Source organism: Homo sapiens, chromosome 6, assembly GCF_000001405.40.
Source record: "Homo sapiens chromosome 6, GRCh38.p14 Primary Assembly".
Classification (NCBI taxonomy): domain Eukaryota; kingdom Metazoa; phylum Chordata; class Mammalia; order Primates; family Hominidae; genus Homo; species Homo sapiens.
In genome coordinates, this window is record NC_000006.12 from 89,169,389 (window position 1) to 89,190,910 (window position 21,522).

Below are 21,522 nucleotides of genomic sequence, written 5' to 3' on the forward strand. Positions count from 1 at the left end.
GCTTGTTTACATGGGTGTTACGTGTAACATACATACGTGTATACATGCAATACATACTACATACAATGTCCAATGGACATTGTATCCAATAGGTAATTTTTCAACTCTCACCCCCCTCCCTCCCCACCCCCTTTTGGAGTTCCCAGAGTCTATTGTCTCATCTTTATGTCCATGTGTACCTTTTGTTTAGCTCCTACTTATAAGTGAGAACATGAGATACTTATTTTCTGTTTATGTGTTCTGTTTCTGTGAGGATAATGGCCTCCAGCTCCATCCATGTTGCTGCAAAGGACATGATTTCATTCTTTTTTATGGCTGTGAGAAGTCCAATCTTATGAATAAAGCAATAGTCCAGCAAGAAGTAAAGTACTATATTGCTTAGAAAGGGCAGCTGTCTGAAATCTTTCCAGTGAGCCCCAGTTGCACTTCATTTTATTTCCTGCCTGTGAGATTCCCCTGTATTCTATTTCTTTTTTAAGTTAGTTTGAGTGGGTTACTGTTCATACAATCAAATATCACTAAGGTATAGTTTAATACCCTTTCCTGATTTTTTTAAGTCTTAAAAAGCTAGGGACCTAGAGTTGTACTACCATAATATAATAAAGAAAATTGATCTCAGATCAACCTCATTCTATATGCTCATTGTTAATGAGGAAATAGTCTGTGATAGGAATATAAGGAGTATTCATCACAATATTATTATTTCTTTCAATACTAGGGGAAAGATTGAATTGTATATCCATAGTATGGAGTTATTATAATGGCTACAAAATGTGGAGAGTTTTTAGTAGAAAAATGATAATGCTGTGTTTTGGAAAAGAAAAAATTAATCTTTGCCTTCTAAAACTTGGTGAACTTTACAGGTTACTCCCCTGCCAAAAAAAAACAAAAAAAAATCAACACTTAAATCCTAGGTAACTCGGATTCATACTCCACCAGAATTTAAAAAAAAAATTAACTGAGCTTTGTGGTAGAGGAATATTTTAAAGATATATTCCTGAACAAACATTTCTTCCTATTTTGAAGAGACAATTGTGTTCTTTAAAGCTGGGCTTCTGCCAGGCACAGTGGCTCATGCCTGTAATCCCAGCACTTTGGGAAGCCAGGGCAGGCGGATCACCTGAGTTCAGGAGTTTGAGACCAGCCTGGCCAACATGGTGAAAACCCATCTATATTAAAAAATACAGAAATTAGCTGGGCGTGGTGGCCCACACCTGTAATCTCAGCTACTCAGGAGGCTGAAGCAGGAGAATCCCTTGAACCTGGGAGGTGGAGGTTGCAGTGAGCCAAGATGGCACCACTGTACTCCAGCCTGGGTGACAGAATAAGACTCTGTCTCAAGAAAAATAAAAATTAAAAATTAGGGAAAAAAAAACAAAGCTTGGTGTCTGAAGGTGCAGACCCTAGGGGGATAGTTTAACAATTTCTTTGAGATCAATAGATCAGCTATAGCTCTTAACACAGTGCTTAGCACATATAATAAACGCTCAATATGGAATAAGTTGTTGAATGCATAGATGCAACACTCATCACTTTCTGTGAATGACAAAGGTGTATGGTTATGAGAACCTAGTTTAGAGCTTTGCTAACTTGAATGTGTATATGAATCACCTGGGGATCTTGTTAAACTACAGGTTCTAATTGAGTGGGTCTGGGATGGGGCCTGAGAGTCTGCTTCCCTGACATGTTCCAAGGTAATGCCAGTGCCGCTCTGGGGATACTGTGAGTTACGAGAACCTAATTGTAATTATCTCAATTAAAAATAGGTGCATTGAGGCCGGGCATGGTGGCTCATGCCTGTAATCCCATCACTTTGGGAGGCCGAGGCAGGTGGATCACCTGAGGTCAGGAGTTCAAGACCAGGCTGGCCAACACGGTGAAACCCCCATCTCTACTAAAAATACAAAAGTTAGCCAGGTGTAGTGGCAGGTGCCTGTAATCCCAACTACTTGGGAGGCTGAGGCAGGAGAATCGATTGAACCCAGGAGGCGGAGGTTGCAGTGAGCCAAGATCATGCCATTGTACTCCAGCCTGGGTGACAGAGCGAGACCATCTCAAAAAAAAAAAAAAAAAAAGGTGTAGTGATTACCCAAAAGTGGAAATCCAACTTGAGGAATGCCATGGTAATTAAATTGTGTTATGGAAAAGTATTACAAAATAGGAAAATAGTTCTCATGTTGTACCTTAAATTTTTAGTTTTTAGGTAAAGCTACCCAATATATTTGAGTATAATCATACCATATATCATAACTAAAGACCATTTTACAAAGACTGTTAACTATTTGGGATGGCAAAGCCAGCAACTTTATAGCTAGGTTCATATTAAGCTGTAGTTACAGTGTTTTGGAGACAAGCCAGAACATTAAAATAAGGATAGTTACGTGCAGAGGCATAACATGAGAAACAGTACCAATTTGGGGTGAAGACTGAGAAATTTTCAAAGATCATTTTTTCTTCTCTCATCATGCTTGAACTGTTTCTCTGCACATGTCATTAACTGGGCAATATAAAGTTGATTGCTTTCCAATAGAAAGTCTAAGAGGGCCAGGCATGGTGGCTCACGCCTGTAATCCTGGCACTTTGGGAGGCCAAGGTGGGCAGATCACATGAGGTCAGGAGTTCGAGACCAGCCTGGCCAACATGGTGAAACCCTGTCTCTACTAAAAATACAAAAATTAGCCAGGTGTGGTGGCAGGCACCTGTAATCCCAGCTACTCAGGAGGCTGAGGCAGGAGAACTGCTTGAACCCGGGAGGTGGAGAGGTTGCAGTGAGCCGAGATCACGCCATGCCATTGTACTCCAGCCTAGGGTGCAAGAGCGAGACTTCGTCTAAAAAAAAAAAAAAGAAGAAGAAGAAAGTCTAAGAGAAAGAAACCACTGGAAAATTACAAACAGAATCCTGTTATAACATGCCTGAATGAGATTTAAAACTTGGCCTTTGAACAACAGAAATCTTGGCACTGCAGCCAGTAAAATTTCTTAAAGCAACTTCTGCCTCTTTAATTCTTCTCAATTCCACTCACCTCTCACCCTGCAACTAATGTCTTTTTCTTTGGAATCTATCATTTTTAGGAACAATGTTTTGGAATGACATTCATCGGGGTTCTACATTGCAACAAAAAATTAAATTTGTGGTTGTATTTTTTATTTGTTGCTGGACTTTCTTTCTTGCTCCAGTGGGTTTTCCTCAGTGTTAATGACCACTTCTAGAAATGTCAATTAAAATTTTAAGCCACAGAAATGGTGGGAATTTGAGAGGATTTACTTTTTGCACCTCTTTATGGCATGTGGTGCCCTGTCTTATGTTTATTATTTATTTATTTATTTATTTATTTATTTTGAGACAAGGTCTTGCTTGTTGCCCAGGCTGGAGTGCAGTGGTGCAATCTCAGGTCACTGCAACCTCCATCTCCTGGGCTCAAGCGATCCTCCTGCCAGTGCACCCTACCACACTCAGCTAATTTTTTTTTTAAGTTTTTTTTTTTTTGGTAGAGACAAGGCTCTCTGTTAGAGACCAGGCTGGTCTCAAACTCCCAGGCTCAAGCCATCCTTGCACCTCAGCCTCCCGATGTGCTGGGATCACAGGTATGAGTCACTGTGCCTGGCTGTCCTGTCTTATTTTTAGTTTTCAAAACAAATTAGATTTTTAAAACGTTTAAAGGACTTTTGTTTATTGGAGAATCACAAAGTTTAGATAGGTACATGAGGGTTCAGTCTACAAAATGCCAAAGCAGTTATTCAGCTCAGCATACCAAACTGTCTGACATTGTATACACTCAAAACATATTGCCTAAATTTGTATCTTTCAGTCATTGGGGTTGTGTTTAACTCCATTTGGACTGAAATGGAAGTTTTTCACTTTTTGTTTTGTCCTGCTAACTAGATTTTAAATTTCCAATTTTTTTAAATTTCCTTAATTACTTTCACAAGATTTTATGTATTTTTTTAGAGACAGGGTCTTGCTCTGTCACTCAGCCTGGAGTGCAGTGGTGTGATCACGGCTCACTGAAGCCTTGACCTCCTGGGCTGAAGTAATCCTCCTGCCTCAGTGTCCAAAGTAGCTAGGACTACAGGCATGTGCCCCCATGCCCAGCTGAAGCTAATTTTTCTATTTTTTGTAGAGACAGGGTCTCACCGTATTGTCCAGGCTGGTCTTGAACTCCTGGGCTCAAGTGATCCTCCCACCTCAGCCTCCCAAAGTGCTGGGATTACAGGCAGGAGCCACTGTGCCCGGCTAAAATTACACTGTTTTAAACAGAGTATTGAAGCTTGCAAATCAAGAAAAATGAAAAAGCTAAACACTTCCCTATTTTCCACTCCCCGTTATAGATATAAGGTATAGTTGTGTGGTTGAACACTTCATATAAGTTAACCTCACTTAGGCATGGCTTTGATTCTCAAAGAGATTCGGTTACCTTCATTCAGTTCTCATGGCCAAGGCCTGCCTGCCAGCCAAGTAGCCTACAAATGCATGTGTTTCATCACAATAGGTACCGACTGTGTACAGAGCTATAAATGCTACTTGAAGAAACCCACTAAACTCACCAATAAGGATCTGTTCATTGTTTTTGGTGTAAACTAGAGGGCATTCATAAAACACTCTGGTCTCAAGAAACGTAAGGATATTTCCTTCTACACAAATAGTAATACTTGAAATAATTGACAGGAAATAGATTGAAATTAAATTTAGAATATGGAATTGAAAACACATTCACTTATTTTAAAAGTTGTGATAATACTGAAGTGAGTGAAATGGTTTTACTTTAACATTGTTGACGTGTGCATTGGAGAATGTACTTTCTTATTTACTGCAGGTACTGAAATTTCCCATACATAGCAAGCCCTGAAATTCAGTTGTAGCAATTTTCTTGATAACATCAAAATGAAATTGTTCTTTCTATACGTGGATTATTGTGATTGTGATTTTAGCAACACATGGTGGTGGGCTCCATGGTTCTGAAGGAGGGGATGCAGGCACAGGACTGGGTTATATCAGGGACTCTCCACATTCAAAAAACTCATCATACAAAAAGCTGATGGACTGACATTTTAAAAAATAAAACAAGCTGAACCTTCACCACAGAGAGTTTAAGAAGCACTGGTCTAAAATGTTTCCTACAAAGTAGTAGGTGCTCAGTATTACTTGACGAATATATGAATAAATAAATGAGTTAACGAATTAATTAAAATATACCAATGATCAGTTAAAATATTTCCTTATAGCAGTGTTTATGTATTGTGTATGACAGTTTGGTTGTCCAGTATTTATTATCTGTAATAAGGTGAATGAACATTGAGTAAAGAATCTTTCACTTAAGGTTGGGCGCGATGGCTCATGCCTGTAATCCTAGCACTTTGGGAGGCCGAGGTGGGCATATCACATGAGGTCAGGAGTTCGAGACTAGCCTGGCCAACATGATGAAACCCCATGTCTACTAAAAATACAAAAAAAAAAAAAATTTGTTGGGCGTGGTGGCAGGCACCTATAATCGCAGCTACTCAGGAGGCTGAGGCAGGAGAATCACTTGAACCCAGGAGGCAGAGGTTGCAGTGAGCTGAGATCATGCCACCGCACGCCAGCCTGGGTGACAGAGCAAAACTCTGTCTTAAAAAAAAAAAAAAAAAAGGCCAGGCAAGGTGGCTCATGCCTGTAATCCCAGCACCTTGGGAGGCTGAGGTGGGTGGGTCACTTGAGGTCAGGAGTTCAAGAGCAGCCTGGCCAACATGGTGAAAACCCGTCTCTACTAAAAAATAACAAAAAAAAAATTAGCCAGCCATAGCGGTGTGTGCCTGTAATCCCAGCTACTTGGGAGGCTGAGGCAGGAGAATTGCTTGAGCCTGGGAGGTGGAGGTTGCAGTGAGCCGAGATTGCGCCACTGCACTCCAGTCTGGACAACAAGAGTGAAACTCGGCCTCAAAAAAAAGTCTTTCACTTATTAACCATGTTATCTGCATGTTATTCCATCAGCCTCTCTCAGCCTTTAGAATTTCCTCATTCAGGTTCAAATGAAACAGAATGTGAAAGTATTTTTTGTAAAACTGGATTTACAAATGTGAGGTTTCACTGTCACTAAAATATAAGCCGTTTTTATTCTAAGATCTAGCATCACCACCCTTCCCTATAAAGTATGAATTATGAAAGCAACTAAAGAATATTGAAACTCCAGTTCTCTACTGCCTATAACCCTTCTGCACATCTGGATGATGCCTACATTCTATCACAGTGATAAAAATCCTTCAGAATCCTACAGCGCCTTCTGAACTACCAGGCAGAGAATACATTATGTTTGATATAGTTTTAGTCAAATACATTTTAACTCTTTAAAAATTAATTATTCAAGCCAGGCACAGTGGCTGAGGCAGAGAAAGATTGCTTGAGGTCAGGAGTTTGCTTGAGACCAGACTGGGCAACATAGTGAGATCTTGTCTCTATAAAAAATTTTTAAAATTAAAAAAAATATTCAATATGGCCACATGGTATTTGCCCATTAACCAGACAATATTATTAACCACATCTTCCTACTCATGCCAGTAAAACGTATTAAGTACTATAGATGCTCAGATATATTATGTGGTTTTCTCCAAAATTATCCTTCAAAAAATAGGGAGTTGCTTTATATTTGGGTCCTTACGAAGTCATACTACAGAGCTGTCAATTACATAACTTTGACAGAAAAGTAATGCCTTAAGAAAACACATTAGCATGGAAATTATTCAATTAATGCTAGTTTTAGATACTCATAGTGGTCACCGGGAATTGCCAGAAAAGATAGCAAAGACATTTAATATGAATTTAATCACTGATTCCTCACAATCACTGTGTGACTATCAAAGTAAATAAGTCTTTTAAATATCACTTTAAAAAACAATGCTGCATGTGTTGTGTTGCAAAAATCAAGAATAAACATCTAAAAGATGCATTAGATATACTATTAAGCAAATTGATAATTTCTATTGGCATCTGTTATTGAATGAATTGTGTCTCCCTATGGGCCCCAAATTCATATATTGAAGCCCTAACTCCCAACATAGCTGTATTTGAAGATAGGCCTTTACAAAGGTAATTAAGGTTAAATCAGGTCATTGGCATGGGCCCTATTCCAATATGACCAGTGTCTTTATAAGAAGAAATTAGGACACACACATTACAGAGGAAAGACCATGTGAAGACACAGTGGGAAGATGGCCATCTACAAGCCAGGGAGAGAAGCTTCCAGGGAAACCAAGCCTGCCAACACCTTGGTCTTGGACTTCGGCCTCCAAAACTGTAAGAAAATAAATTTCTGTTGTTTAAGCCACCCAGTCTGTGGTACTTCGCTATCACAACTTTAGCACACTAATAGAGTATCCCATAGGTTGCTTCAAATGGTGGAGTATCCTGTACAAATAGATGGAAGTTCAGATGGTGTGCCCTGGATACATTTCAGCTCACTCACAGTGGCCCTAGTGATCATGAGGAAGAAGACAGCAGCAAAGATGTTTGTAAAGAGTTTGATTGCAATTGTTCTATAAAATAATCATGGAAAAAACCAGCGTTTTTAAAATAACATCTTTAAACATCAAAAGTTAACATTTAGGGGTCAGGTGCGATGGCTCACGCCTTTTTCCCCAGCACTTTGGGAGGCTGAGGTGGGAGGACTGATTGAGCTCAGGAGTTTGAGACCAGCCTGGGCAATATAATGAGACCTTGTCTCTACAAAAACTTTAAAAAATTGGCTGAGTGTGGTGGAGCATGCCTGTAGCCCGAGCTACGCAGGAGGCTGAGGTGGGAGAATCACTTGAGCCTGGGAGGCAGAGGTTGCAGTGAGCTGAGATGGCACCACTGCACTACAGCCTGGGTGACAGAGTGAGACCCTGTCTCAAAAAAATAAAATAAGAATACAAAATTTAAATAGTTAACATTTAACTATTTCATCTAAATCCCTTTAAGTTTATTCAAGCTTGCCAAAAAACTTTCTTTCGGTGAGTTTTCATTGGAGATAATGGGAGATTACATTGTAATTAGGGTTTATGCAAATAGGTTTTTTCAGATTAAAATATAGTCCTGCATATGTAGAATCATAATATTTAGTATTGGTGATGAGTCAAATTAACTTTGAAATGAAAATGACATTATTGTGTATATAATTCACTTTATTAAAGTGAGTTTCAAATAAAACAAATGCTGTTTGGGTAAGTTTGGTGGAGGTTGATCTATATAGCAGATATATAATATAAATAACTGTTTTTAAGTGATACACCAGATTAGAACCCTCTCCTTTACCCCATGCCCTGACATCAGTTGCCATTGGGCCATCCGTCTGCCTGGTATCTGGGCTGTGTGGTCTAGGTGATGGCAGTTTTCTGGTCCATAGAAAATGCTGGTATTTCGAGTATAAATGCAGATGTCCAGTGATATCTTCCCATTTATTTTGCTTTCCGATGTTCTTTTTCTCTTAAGAAACCATGTGAGTATTTCTCATTCTAATGAGTTACAAGTAGTCCCAAATTATGTATTTCCTTGAAGTGTTTATGCAGAAGAAATCATTCTCTACCCAAGTTCCTCAGTGAAGATATCACATCACTGAGAAAGCACTTCTCTTTGAACAAGGACATGCTCCAAGAAGAAGAAACATGAAGTGGTGATTATATAAAATAGGGAACATTTAAACACAAATTTTCTAGCCTAGTTACCTCTATGACACAACAGACAAAATGCATGTGTGTACTCTTATCTTCAAAGTTTCCCTACCAGGGAAAATTTCACCAAAATCAGAAGCAATTGCGCCAATCTAAAGAGCTTTTCTTGTGAAGGGGTAAAGCCTGTGAACCACAGCATATAAAGAAAAATAATGTGAATGTTATCATTGCCTTTTATTAAAATAAACATGCGGAGGTGGAGTCGCATACAAAATAGGTAATAGGTTATAAACTGAAGCATGAGTTTCTGTCAAAGTGAGGATTTAGGTGCATGTGAATTTCATGCAAATGGCCTGTAGGTGCTTCCAAGTTCACGTAGCCTGAACAATGTAATGACACTTGAGGAAAATAAATTATTCATGTGAATAGCATCAAGGGTCTAACGGGTGGAACTAAATGTGCCCACAACACTGGTAGTGTGCTTTTCCAGGGGATCTGGGTAACAACTAACATCAGTCGCTACAGTGTCGTATTTCCTGCAGCACCTAATATAATGCTGTGTATTCAATAGATGGTTAATAAGTGCAAATTAAACCAGTAAGTGTCTCGTCAATGTAGCTTTGGAAAGCTGCAGAAGGGATAGTGAAAACATGGGTGGGTCCTGGGATTTTTTTTTAACCATATCCTTAAATACTTTTTCATTATACAGTTATTTCTGTAGTGCATGCCATGGAAATGTGAAATTTGTAGAATTACAAGCATCTAGGAGAAAATAGACCAGTATATTAAATTGAATAAAATGTATGCTGCTGGAAAGATGATCCTGGAGTATTTATCAATGGCGTGGGTGTCGATTCTCATGCTCACATAGCTGCTTCTCTGACTTTTCCTCTGTGGGGAGCTCCTCTCTGAGGCCAGGGTCAGCTGCACCATCATCCTGTCGGGCTTCTCTCCATTCTCTGGCATGTAGTTGTCCAGGTCATTCACCTCCCCATCACTGTAGTTGCCGTCCAGCATCGCAGTGCGGGGCGGAGGTAATCCGCTGGTGCAGGGAAGCTGCAAACAGTAAACACATGTTGGGGTGTGAGCTCAGCATCATCTCTCAGAAGCCCTTCAAAAGGAACTGCATAGTGGAGGGTGTTGCCTGGTTTCTGGTATTCCCAGTTTGGGAAGAGGGTAGGTATCCTGTTTTGTTTTGTTTTTGTTTTTGTTTTTTTTTTGGGGGGGACTTGAGTTTTGCTCTTGTCGCCCAGGCTGGAGTGCAATGGCACGATCAATCTCAGCTCACTGCAACCTCCGCCTCTGGGGTTCAAGTGATTCTCTTGCCTCAGCCTCCCAAGTAGCTAGGATTACAGATGCACACCACCATGCCAGGCTAATTGTTTTATTTTTAGTAGAGACGAGGTTTCATCATGTTGGCCAGACTGGTCTCAAACTCCTGATCTCAGGTGATCCACCCGCCTCGGCCTCCCAAAGTGCTGGGATTACAGGCGTGAGCCACTGTGCCCAGCCTGGTATCCATTTTTGCTGATCTAAAATCTACATACTGACTCTTAGAAAATATCACAGTGCCATACCAAAGACCAACAAGAATGCTCATGATTCATAGATCACCCTGTTCTCCATGAGATCATAAGCTGTTATGAGCCCTTGATAAAAATGTTTACAGATCACATAATTACAAGTGTGTGCATGAACGTGTGCATTTGTCATGGGGATGGGGATTGGTATTGTGGGGATAGATTACTGTAACATGGTTAGAGTTTGCTGGGGGAGATAACCATTGAGCTGCACACTGGAGGAGGAAAGGAGAGTCAGGTGGGAGGAAAGATAACCTGGGAAAAGGTGGAGCATGCATGAGGTTACATATGAAGGAAGATTTCCTAGAATGAGAAATGTTCTTCCCTGGACAGTTCTTTTATTACACCCTTATGTTCATAAATAATTTGTCCCACTATGTTAAATTGTCATTTATTTTTCTCCTGGGATTCCCTCACTAAACTATGAACATCACCAAGATGTTCCCTAACACTTAACTAAGACCTGGTCCAAGTATGTGGTAGGTGCAAAAAAATTTTTCAATGAATGAAAGATGTCACCCAAAGTAAATTTCACAATGACTTGAAATACACCAATTTGTTTGCTCTTCACAACAACCCTGTGAAGTAGGCACAGGAGAGGGTATCATGACCTTGCTTTACAGAGAAGGTCTGCCCTGCCTGAGGTTCCAGAGCTAGATCAGGTTCCATCCTGACCAGACACTATAAGCGCATGGCAAAGTCACCTTCTCCCGCAGCTTCTGTTCCTTCCTCTCCTGCACAGTGGTCAGGTAGTTGACGGCCGCATACTCCAGCACCGAGAGGAACACGAACACAAAGCTGACCCAGAGGTAGATGTCCACGGCCTTGATGTAGGAGACGCGCGGCATGGAGGCATTCACGCCCGTGATGATGGTGGACATGGTCAGCACCGTTGTGATACCTGCAAACACAAGAATGAGAAACAAGTGTTTGCTTGTCTTTCACCAAACACAGGATGGTTTCATGTCTCTGCTCATTTGTCCCTGCTGCTCCCTCAATCTAGAATGTCTCCATCCCTGCTCCACTGCCCAGCAAACACCTACACATCTTTCAAGATTTAGCTTTTCACGAAGCTTTTCCTGTTCCTCTCCCCCTGCTTCCCTACCCTTTCGCCCCTCTGCATACCCTGTGTATTCATCGTAGCATCTGTGTCACTATTCTTCTGCAAAGAACCCTAGACATTTTGGCATTAAAACATTTATTTCAATTGATTTTTACAAAATAAGAGGTTGCATATATGAGCAGGTATATATGTTTCTTATAACTACTGCTCCATCAAGGGGAAAAAGCCCATGGGGTTTATTTTAATATCATGTCCTGGCTCTTGGTGTGCAGTCCTGTTGTCCTGGGCCTGCGTCGACAGCTGTCAGGGCACCCCCAGCAGCCACCACCATGCTGGACCTAGCTGCCCATTCAGCATTGTCCACTTGAGGACTTGAGGGTCAATTTCACTAAGGATGACAATGTTAACTTCATTTATAGGAAACAGATTTTAAAACTAGAGTGTGTAGCTATTTAGCACAGTAACTGTTCAAGCTATGGAACAACTGTTAGAGGACAAGGCATCTGTCCATGGAAATTTGCCCAGGATTTCAAATTAAGCTCAGAACATTTGTTTGGCAAACATCAAATCACAGGGGATTGGGGTCATCTTAAGGGCCAGCTCCAATCCAGTTTCACTAAAACCTGGTGGGTCGCATTCTCCCCTGCAGCCCCTGAACTGTCTGAGCAATGGTGGTGTGTATAAATGGGTATAATATTTAAGGTGAGAAAAAGAGCTGACAGCAAATAGCCATAAGCGGAATGCTTATAGAAAAGGGATTCTCAGACTTGAGTACACAGAATAATTACTGGGAGAACTTGTTAAAAATGCAGGTTCCTGGTCCTCCCTCAGAGATTCTCATTCTATAGATGCAGATGAGACCCAGGACCCTTCATTTTTAACAATTTCCCACAAAGATTCTATCACAAAGACCCCTTGAGCTACCATTTGAGAAACACTGTTGTAGGATATGATTCATTTTGCAGGTGAGCAAAGAAGGCACCTAAAGACCAGGCTCGCCCACCCTGGAACACGGCTTCGACAAGACTAAAGGTGGGCTGTTTGGATGGGCACCTGCAGAGTCCTGGAAAGCATTTTGCTACATAGATTCCTAATTACAGGATTTTAACTATAAATAAATAACTCTTGAGTTTTTCCAAGTCATAACGCCAAAAGGGATACAGAATCAATTTGAAAAGAATGGTTTTATCTGGAAGGAATTGTTAATACCTATATTTGCAGATGCTTGGAATATGCACTTGAGGTATTCCTTACCTAAGGGGACTCTGGCAGGCACGGCTCTGCGGTCGATCCAGAAGGACACCCAGGACAGCATGACCATCAGGGTAGCGGGGAAATAAGTTTGGAGCAAGAAGAAGAAGATGTGGCGACGCAACGTGAAATTAATGTAGAGACGGTTGTACCAGCCTGGGGGACACAGGAATAAAAGACAGTACACATCATGGCTCCTTCATAAAACACATTTTATTCAGGAAATTGTTAAGTGCCTTAGACACTCCAATGGACTCTTATCATGTCTTTATAAGGTGAAATTGAGAGAAATCATGAAACAAAGTGATTATATAGTAATACATACCACCTGGGTGAATCTATCTCAAGAAACCTTTGGCCGTTGTCCTATTTACAAACGGAATCCCTTGAAAAGACCATTTAAACTTTTTTCTTTTCTTAAGACAGTGTATCACTCTGTCACCAGGCTGGAGTGCAGTGGTGCAATCTTGGCTCACAGCAGCCTTGAACTCCTGGGTGCAAGCAATCCTCCCACCTCAGCCTCCCAAGTAGCTGGTACCACTACACCCAGCTGATGTTTAAATTTTTTGGTAGAGACTGGGTCTTGCTATGTTCACCAGGCTGGTCTCGAACTCCTGGCTTCAAGTGATCCACCCACTTCAGCCTCCCAAAATGCTGAGATTACAGGTATGAACTACCATCACGCCTGGGTCATTTAAACTCCTGTTACTCTCATTACCTGGTCTAGGGTTCAGCAACCTCACCGTCACCTGGGAGCTTGTTATAAATGAAGATACCTGGGCCCCACCCCAAACCTACTTAATTGGAGGTCCATTTAACAATATTCTCAGCTGGGCGCGGTGGCTCATGCCTGTAATCCCAGCACTTTGGGAGGCCAAGGCGGGAGGATTGCTTGAGCTCAGGAGTTCAAGGTTACAGTGAGCTATGATCGCCCACTGCACTCCAGCCTGAGCCACAGAATGAGACCCTGTCTCTATTAGGAAAAAAAATAATTTTATATATATATATGTAATTTGTTCATAGTTCATATGCACGTCAAAGTTTGAGAAGCACTGATTTAAACAATCTCTTTAGATTTCTTTATGGGGAGAAATGTGCTTTAAGTTAAAAAAGAAAGTTAAACACAACATTGTATTTAGGAACACAGTGAACAATCACAGGTCCAGCTACATTTTAGCTCTTCTTTTGTGTCCTTACAAGGAAAACATATGCATGGAGGAGTTGAAGAGAAAGGGAGGATGATGGAAAAAAAAAAAGACAAAAAAAAAAAGGAAAAGGCCTTATATGCGTGAGATGCCTAGGACTAAAAATAAAATGGATGGGGACTTGGCAATATGAACTTGGAAACTTGGCACCCTGGGTCATTATAATGCATGGGACATGCCTCTGGTTACCAGCAAGCTACTGCAGAGGGACTGTCAGAATGCTGAGGGTCAAAAGAACAGGGTTCCTCCAAGGAACCAATACTTTGGGGTGATGGATACAGGAGATAATATGTGCTGGGTTGTAGTGCTATGTTGGTGCTCCCTCTTACAGATTAGGAAGACCATGGGGTACTTAAAAAGAATGTGCTTCCCTGTGCAGTCAATTGCGCAAGTTTTACATAGAAACTGCATGAAGATTTGAGCGAAATCATCCTGAAAGGTGACTGGTCAAAAAAGAGGCAAGAAGCACAATTCACAATTGCAAAGATATGAAATCAACCTAAGTGCCCATCAACAGATGAATGGATATGAATGAATATGGTATATATACACCATGGAATACCACTCTTCCATTAAAAAAAAAAGATGAAATAATGTCTTTTGCAGTAACTCGGATGGAACTGGAGGCCATTATTCTAGGTGAAATAACTCAGGAATTGAAAAGCAGATACCACATGTTCTCACTTATAAGTGGGAGCTAAGCTATGGAAACACAAAGGCATACAGAGTGGTATAGTGGACACTGGAGACTCGGAAGTGGAGAAGGTGGGAGGAGAGTGAGGGATGAAAAACTACCCATTGGGTACAATGTACACCACTCAGGTGACAGATGTACTAAAATCCTAGACTTCAGCTGGGCGCAGTGGTTCATGCCTGTAATCCCAGCACTTCAGGAGGCTGAGGTGGGCCAATCATTTGAGGTCAAGAGTTCAAGACCAGCCTGGCCAACATGGTGAAACCCCATCTCTACTAAAAATACAAAAATTAGCCAGCCGTGGTGGTGGGTGCCTGTAATCCCAGCTACTCGGGAGGCTGAGGCAGGAGAATTGCTTGAACCCAGGAGGCAGAGGTTGCAGTGAGCCCAGACCTGGCCATCTGGCCATTGCACTCTAGCCTGGGCAACAGAGTGAGACTCCGTCTCAAAAAAAAAAAAAAAAAAAATTCCTAGACTTCACCACTATACAATTCATCGATGTAATCAAAACCCACTTGTGTCCCTACTTTTTTTTTTAAGGCAAGAAATGAAGCAAGTTAACCTCAGCTATTTAGCGCAGGCAAGCTCCCAGGAGAAAGGTCACAGAGCATGCCCCCGCAGGCAACAGGAGGGGGTGAGCCTGTCCCAACCCTTGGTTCAAAAAGGAACAACTGGGTCCACAGGGGACTGACCAGTGGTTCTTGCACTGACACTTAGAAGAGAGTCACCAGGAGGGGCTGTGCAAGCAGCATAGCAAGAGCAGACTGGTCAAGAGTGGAGCGACCCCACGGGGCTGGCTGGAGCAGGGAGAACGTAAATTGAAAACAGCAGACCTGAATTGTATTTGTTTCCTGCTGTCAAGGAGGGGACTCGGATCAGCGTATCACGGCTGAGATGCCAGTTACTAAGCTGGCAATGCGATTGTCTCAAATAAACCCACTCAAGTGGCTTATGTTTTAAGTTCTTACTAATTTTTTTAGGTTAGTACTCTGACGCATTGGTAATATCAAAAAAATCACTTCCACCCACTGCTTGCTACCCACTAGACTTCACTTAGGATTTCTGCCTTTAGTTTCTTTTCTTTCTTTTTTTTTTTTTTTTTTGAGGCAGGGTCTCACTCTGTCGCCCAGGCTGGAGTGCAGTGGTGTGATCTCAGCTCACTGTAACCTCCGACTCCAGGGCTCAAGGGATCTCCCACCTCAGCCTTCCAGATAGCTGGGACTACAGGCGTGTGCCACCACACTTGGCTAATTTTTGTATTTTTAGTAGAGACTGAGTTTCACCATGTTGGCCAGGCTTGTCTTGAACTCCTAAGCTCAAGCAATCCATCCACCTTGGCCTCCCAAAGTGCTGGGACATGAGCCACTGCACCCGGCCTCTGTCTTTAGTTTCAAATATAAGTGACACTGCTCACCTGACGACCAATTCAAACCTTTCCTATAATAGAGGGTGAACCTTGGAGACCAAGCTGAAGCCTGCCCTGACTCTCAGCCCTCACTCTACACTTACCTGTGCTGCTGTAGAAAGCCAGTTTGGTGGTGGTGTGGAATTCCTGAATGAGGAACTGGGAGAGTGAGATCCGTTCATCTGTCTTTAAGGAGTCATTGCCCTTTTTCCAGTACAGCATGAGGTCATCTTCTGTATAGGCATCTGAAAAGACAGGGGCCAGCATCAGACACAAGGTGGTGGCAAGACAGGATGGTCTGTGGGGCTATGTAGAAGCTGTGTCCTGACCTCCCACACTGACTACTGGGATTGTGATATGATAGTTTGAAAAACAAACCACAGTCTAAACAAAGCAAAACAATATCCAAAAAGACAAATCTAATTATCTCCACTCTTCCAAAAGTCATCAGAGCAAAGTTCTCAAGCCCAAATGCACATAATTCCTGCAAAAGGGTTCACCCTACAATTCAGCCTGCCATTTATTAGGTTAAATCAAATGGAATTCTATTTTTGTAGGTTAGAAATGGTTAAATATTGGCAAAATTTCACATGGCTCAGCCTTATAAATGGAGAGTAATTTAGCCTTTTCCTTTCTTCTTTCAAAGTGTGGCGACTCATCAATTGATGGCAAGCACCTGTAAACACTATCAGGTAATAAAGGCTGAATTTTAGCAAGAAAAGATCCATAAAGAGACGGGAGTGGAACAAGTCCCTCTCTGTAGGACTCCAGTTACTCCTACTCAGGGTAAAGTCGAAGTGAATCCATGATCATCACCCTTTCTGGTGCTACCATTTCCCCTTCCCTCACCTGCTTCTGGTGAACTCCAAGTGAACAAACCTACCTCCAGCCTGAGCATAACTGAGGAGAAGCCTCATGGCACTGCCAGTCCAGCCTGTTGATGTGTAAACAGTTCCTTCCAGGGGTCCCTGGGACTATTTTATTCTTGTTTTCTAACACTTGACCTGTGTGATGGTCAGTTTCATGTGTCAACCTGGCTTGGCTATGGTACCCAATTATACAATCAAACACTAATCTGTAAAAGTGTTTTGTAGATGTGACTAATATCTACAACCACTGGACTTTAAAGGGGATTTTCCTGGATAATCTGGGTGGGCCTGATTCCATCAGTTGAAAGGCCTTAGAAGCAGAAATGAGGCTTCCTGGAAGAAGAAATCCCACCTGTGGCCTGCGGCATCCGCTCCTGCCCCAGAGTGCCCCTCCTGCACTCCTGATGGCCCGCCCTGCAGATGTGGGACTCTTAGCCAGCCCCCACAATCCTGCTAGCCACTTCCTTGCAATAAATCTCTACTCTGTATGTCCTACTGGTTCTGTTTATCTGGCGGAGCCATGACTGATACAACCTGAAAAAAGGCTACATTCCAGATGGAGGCAGAAGCTGCCCAGGCATAGTGGGGAAAACTAAGTTCTGGAGACAATGAACTCAGTATTTCAGTCTGGCTCTGCCACCGAGCTCTGTCCCTCCTTTGTATAATGATAATAACCTGTTCTTCAGGGTCTTGTGAGGGTTGAATGACAAGGCAGAGGTAAAGCCACTGTGCAATAAGTAGCCACTCCCTTGGTCCTGGGTTTTATTACACCCTTTCCCCACATTCAGTGCCCTATGCAGCTGTCCCTTTGGCCCCAGCGGTGTGTGATGTCAATGTCCCTGCACTCCTTGGTCCCAGATGATTGGAGCCAGGGGACACCTGATCCACTGCTACAAGCCCAGGCTGGCTGATAAAGTGCCCTGGAACAGTGAGAACCCTCACTAGGGCTTTGACACTGCCAGGGAGTGCCAGTGTTCAGGAGGAGTGTAGGAGTCACAGGGGTGTCCACTGTGCTGTGGGAGAAAGTGTTTGGGCAGGGAGGAGAATGGAGCGGACATGTAGAGGGACAGAGATGCATGTGGATCATTTTATACTGCCTCAGCCTGGCTCTTTCTGTGGCCTGGTTTCTGGGGGGTGTGTGTGTGTGTGTGTGTGTTGTGTTGTGTTAAAATACACATAAAATTTACCATCTTAACCATTCTTTAGTGTAACTTCAGTGGTATTGCACTACATTCTTAAGTGTTGTATTTATGATGCATGATAAATATAATTAAAATTATACTACATGAAAATTACTACATAAATACAGCCATTCTTATGGTAGGATACATCATTTGCCATTGTATATTCTCCCATTCGTGGGTTGCATTTACTCTGTTGATAATGTTTTGATGCACAGCATTTTAAAATTTTCATGTAGTATCTGTGTTGTACTACATTACTACATAAACACAACCAGTATGATGGTCATACCACCATCCATCTCCAGAACTCTTTTCATCTTCCCAAACTGAAGCTCCATACCCATTTAACAATAACGCCTCATCCCTGTTTCCCCTCTCCCCAGCCTCTGGCAACCACCATTCTACTTTCTGTCTCTATAATTTTGACTACGCTAAGTACCTCTTAAAAGTGACATCATACAGTATTTGTCTTTTGCGATTGGCTGATTTCACTTAGCATAATGCCCTCAAGTTTCATTCATGCTGTAGCATGTATCGGAAATCCTTGTTTTTTAAGGCCGAACACTCTTCCACTGTATGCAGATACTGCATTCTGTGTATCCATTCATCCATTGATGGACACTTGGGTTGTTTTCATGTTTTAGCAATTGTGAATAGAACTGCTATAAATATGAGCATACAAGTACCTTTTCAAGACCCTGCTTTCAATTCTTTTGGTTATTTACCCAGAAATGGATTTGCTGGATCATATGTTCTTAATTTTTTTTTTTTTTTAGACATGGGGGTCTTGCTTTCTCACCCAGGCTGGAGTGCAGTGGTGCAATCATAGCTCACTGCAGCCTGCAGCCTCAGGCTCTTGGGCTCAAGTGATTCTCCTGCCTCAGCCTCCCGAGCAGCTGGGACCACAGATGCCAGCCACCATGCCCAGCACATTTTTGTATTTTTTGTAGAGACAGGGTCTTGCTATGTTGCCCAGACTGGTCTTCAACTTCTGGGCTCAAGTGATCCTCTTACCCCGGCCACCCACAGTGCTGGGATTACAGGTATGAGCAACCGTGCCCAGCCATTGTTTTAATTTTTTGAGGAGCTGTTTTCCCCAGTGGCTGCACCATTATACATTACTACCCACAAAGGATAAGGGTTCTAATTTGTTCACATCCTCCCCAGAATTGTTTTCTGTTTTGTTGACAGTATTCATCCCAGTAAGTGTAACTCACTGTAGTTTTGGTTTGCATTTTCCTAATGATTAATGATGTTGAACATCTTTTCATGTGCTTCTTGGCCATTTGTATACCGTCTTTGGAGAAATGTCTATTCAAGTCTTTTGTCCATTTTTTTAAGCAGATTGTTTTGTTGTTGTTGTTGAGTTTTAGCTGTTCTCTTTGTATTCTGGATATCAATCCTTTATCAGATAGATGATTTATCAATATATTATCAATATATTCTCCCATTTGTGGGTTGCCTTTTTACTCTGATAATGTCGATGCACAAAATTGACAATTTTCATGTAGTCCAATTTGCGTATTTTTTTCTTTTGTTGACTGCACCTGTGGTGTCATAGCGCCTGGTTTTCAGTTTTTCCAGGATGTCTGTGTGTGTGCAAGCTTCCTGAAATCCCTTGTTGTGCCTGAGCATCTCAACCACCACACGAACTCACAGTGGCAGTTCCCTAGGGCAACTGTTGTCAAACTTGTTTTGGCCAGGAAATCCTTTCTTCAGCAGAAATTACATTTAGAAGAGCAATAAAACACATCAAAAATGAGCTCTCTGGATGAACTCATGTCTGTGTGTGTGTGTGTGTGTGTGTGTGTGTTGGGCAAAGGGCTTGGAAGGAGACCCACATTCGCTTAGCCCTCTACTTCCCTTCCCCAAGCAGTTACCCTGATTCAACAGAACAAAGTTTAAAACCATTGCCATAGGGCATTAAAAAGATCAGTTATGTTTATTGCACACGTATGTTTATTGCGGCATTATTCACAATAGCAAAGACTTGGAACCAACCCAAATGTCCAACAATGATAGACTGGATTAAGAAAATGTGGCACATATACACCATGGAATACTATGCAGCCATAAAAAATGATGAGTTCATGTCCTTTGTAGGGACATGGATGAAACTGGAAACCATCATTCTCAGTAAACTATCGCAAGAACAAAAAACCAAACACCGCATATTCTCACTCATAGGTGGGAATTGAACAATGAGATCACATGGACACAGGAAGGGGAATATCACACTCTGGGGACTGTGGTGGGGTGGGGGGAGGGGGGAGGGATAGCATTGGGAGATATACCTAATGCTAGATGATGAGTTAGTGGGTGCAGCGCACCAGCATGGCACATGTATACATATGTAACTAACCTGCACAATGTGCACATGTACCCTAAAACTTAAAGTATAATTAAAAAAAAAAAAAGATCAGTTATGGCAATGAAGGTTTTAGTTTCAAATTTGTTCCTGATATTTAAAATTACCCTAGACCTAGCTTCAATCTAACACATTACTTTAAAAGTACAGTCATGAAGGCTGGGCATGGTGGCTCACGCCTGTAATCCCAGCAGGTGGTCACAAGGTCAGGCGTTGGAGATCAGCCTGGTCAACATAGTGAAACCCTGTCTCTACTAAAAATACAAAAAATTAGCCAGGCATGGTGGCAGGTGCCTGTAATCCCAGCTACTCGGGAGGCTGAGGCAGGAGAATCACTTGAACCTGGGAGGCAGAGGTTGCAGTGAGCAGAGACTGCGCCACGGCATTCCAGCCCAGGCGACAGTGTGAGACTCCATCTCAAAAAAAAAAAAAAGTCTACTCATGAATAAGGAACACACACTGTTCCTGCAGCTGAGAGTTAGAGGTGTTGAGAATTATCAGGAGCTGTGTGCTGATGCCCGGGGACAAGTCTACTCACAGCTTTCAATTTCAAGAGAGCACGTTTGTGTGTCCAAGGGAAATCGGCTGAAGTCCATGTTGCACATTGCAGTTACTGTAACCCTAGGGCCAAAAAGACAAAATTGATTTATTCAGAGCCTGCAAAAGACGAGTGCAAAATGATAAATGGAAAAGGCCTCTGCTTCCTTCCAATATGATAGATGCCTCTTCTCATACTTCATAAGCAATGTGTCAGGGTTTAGATAAGTAGCTTATGAGTGATACCATCACTGGAGTACTCTTAGGCATTTATGTTTAACCCAAGGGTCAGTGTGAGGCAAATGGAATGTCTCTACTAACTCTTATCACATTCAAGCATTTTAAAGAAGCAATGGTCTCAATGAATATAATAATGTGAAATAAAAACTTACATGATATGGTTTCTTAAAAGAAGCTCTAGGACCATATATTGTTCTCCTGTTTCAGATAAATTCCAGTTCTTTTGTTCTTTTATTGATTTTATTGATATTCAACATCATATACAATACAGTGTACACTTACCCCAGTTGCCAAGCTTGGCACTTTTTCTTTAACGATGTTGATATTTTTATATTGATAATAGTATCTACTAGTGGGCATATGTGTTGTTAGTGGATAATTCCTTGGAGATCAAAGTAATGGAAAAACACTGAAAGGTCTTACTGTGTTAATAGGCAAGCACTTGCTGGCATTGAGTGATTTTATTTCAGAATTTACACTGGGAAAGAGGCTTCCGCATCAAAAGCC

General features: G+C 41.8%; 1 protein-coding gene across 5 annotated transcripts in view; it reads right to left on the bottom strand.

Moving 5' to 3' along the window:
- Positions 1-8,115: 8,115 nt before the first annotated feature.
- GABRR1 (gamma-aminobutyric acid type A receptor subunit rho1) overlaps positions 8,116-21,522 on the bottom strand; it is a 53,785-nt gene continuing 40,378 nt past the window's right edge. For all 5 annotated transcript variants that reach the window (NM_001267582.2, NM_001256703.1, NM_001256704.1 and 2 more), the window contains 5 exons: positions 20,777-20,859; positions 15,922-16,062; positions 12,517-12,669; positions 10,904-11,100; positions 8,116-9,675 (listed from right to left, as the gene is read on the bottom strand). In NM_001267582.2, the coding sequence (NP_001254511.1) occupies positions 9,382-9,675; positions 10,904-11,100; positions 12,517-12,669; positions 15,922-16,062; positions 20,777-20,859 (868 nt within the window). In that variant the 3' untranslated portion in view covers positions 8,116-9,381. The remainder of the gene's footprint in view (positions 9,676-10,903; positions 11,101-12,516; positions 12,670-15,921; positions 16,063-20,776; positions 20,860-21,522) is intronic.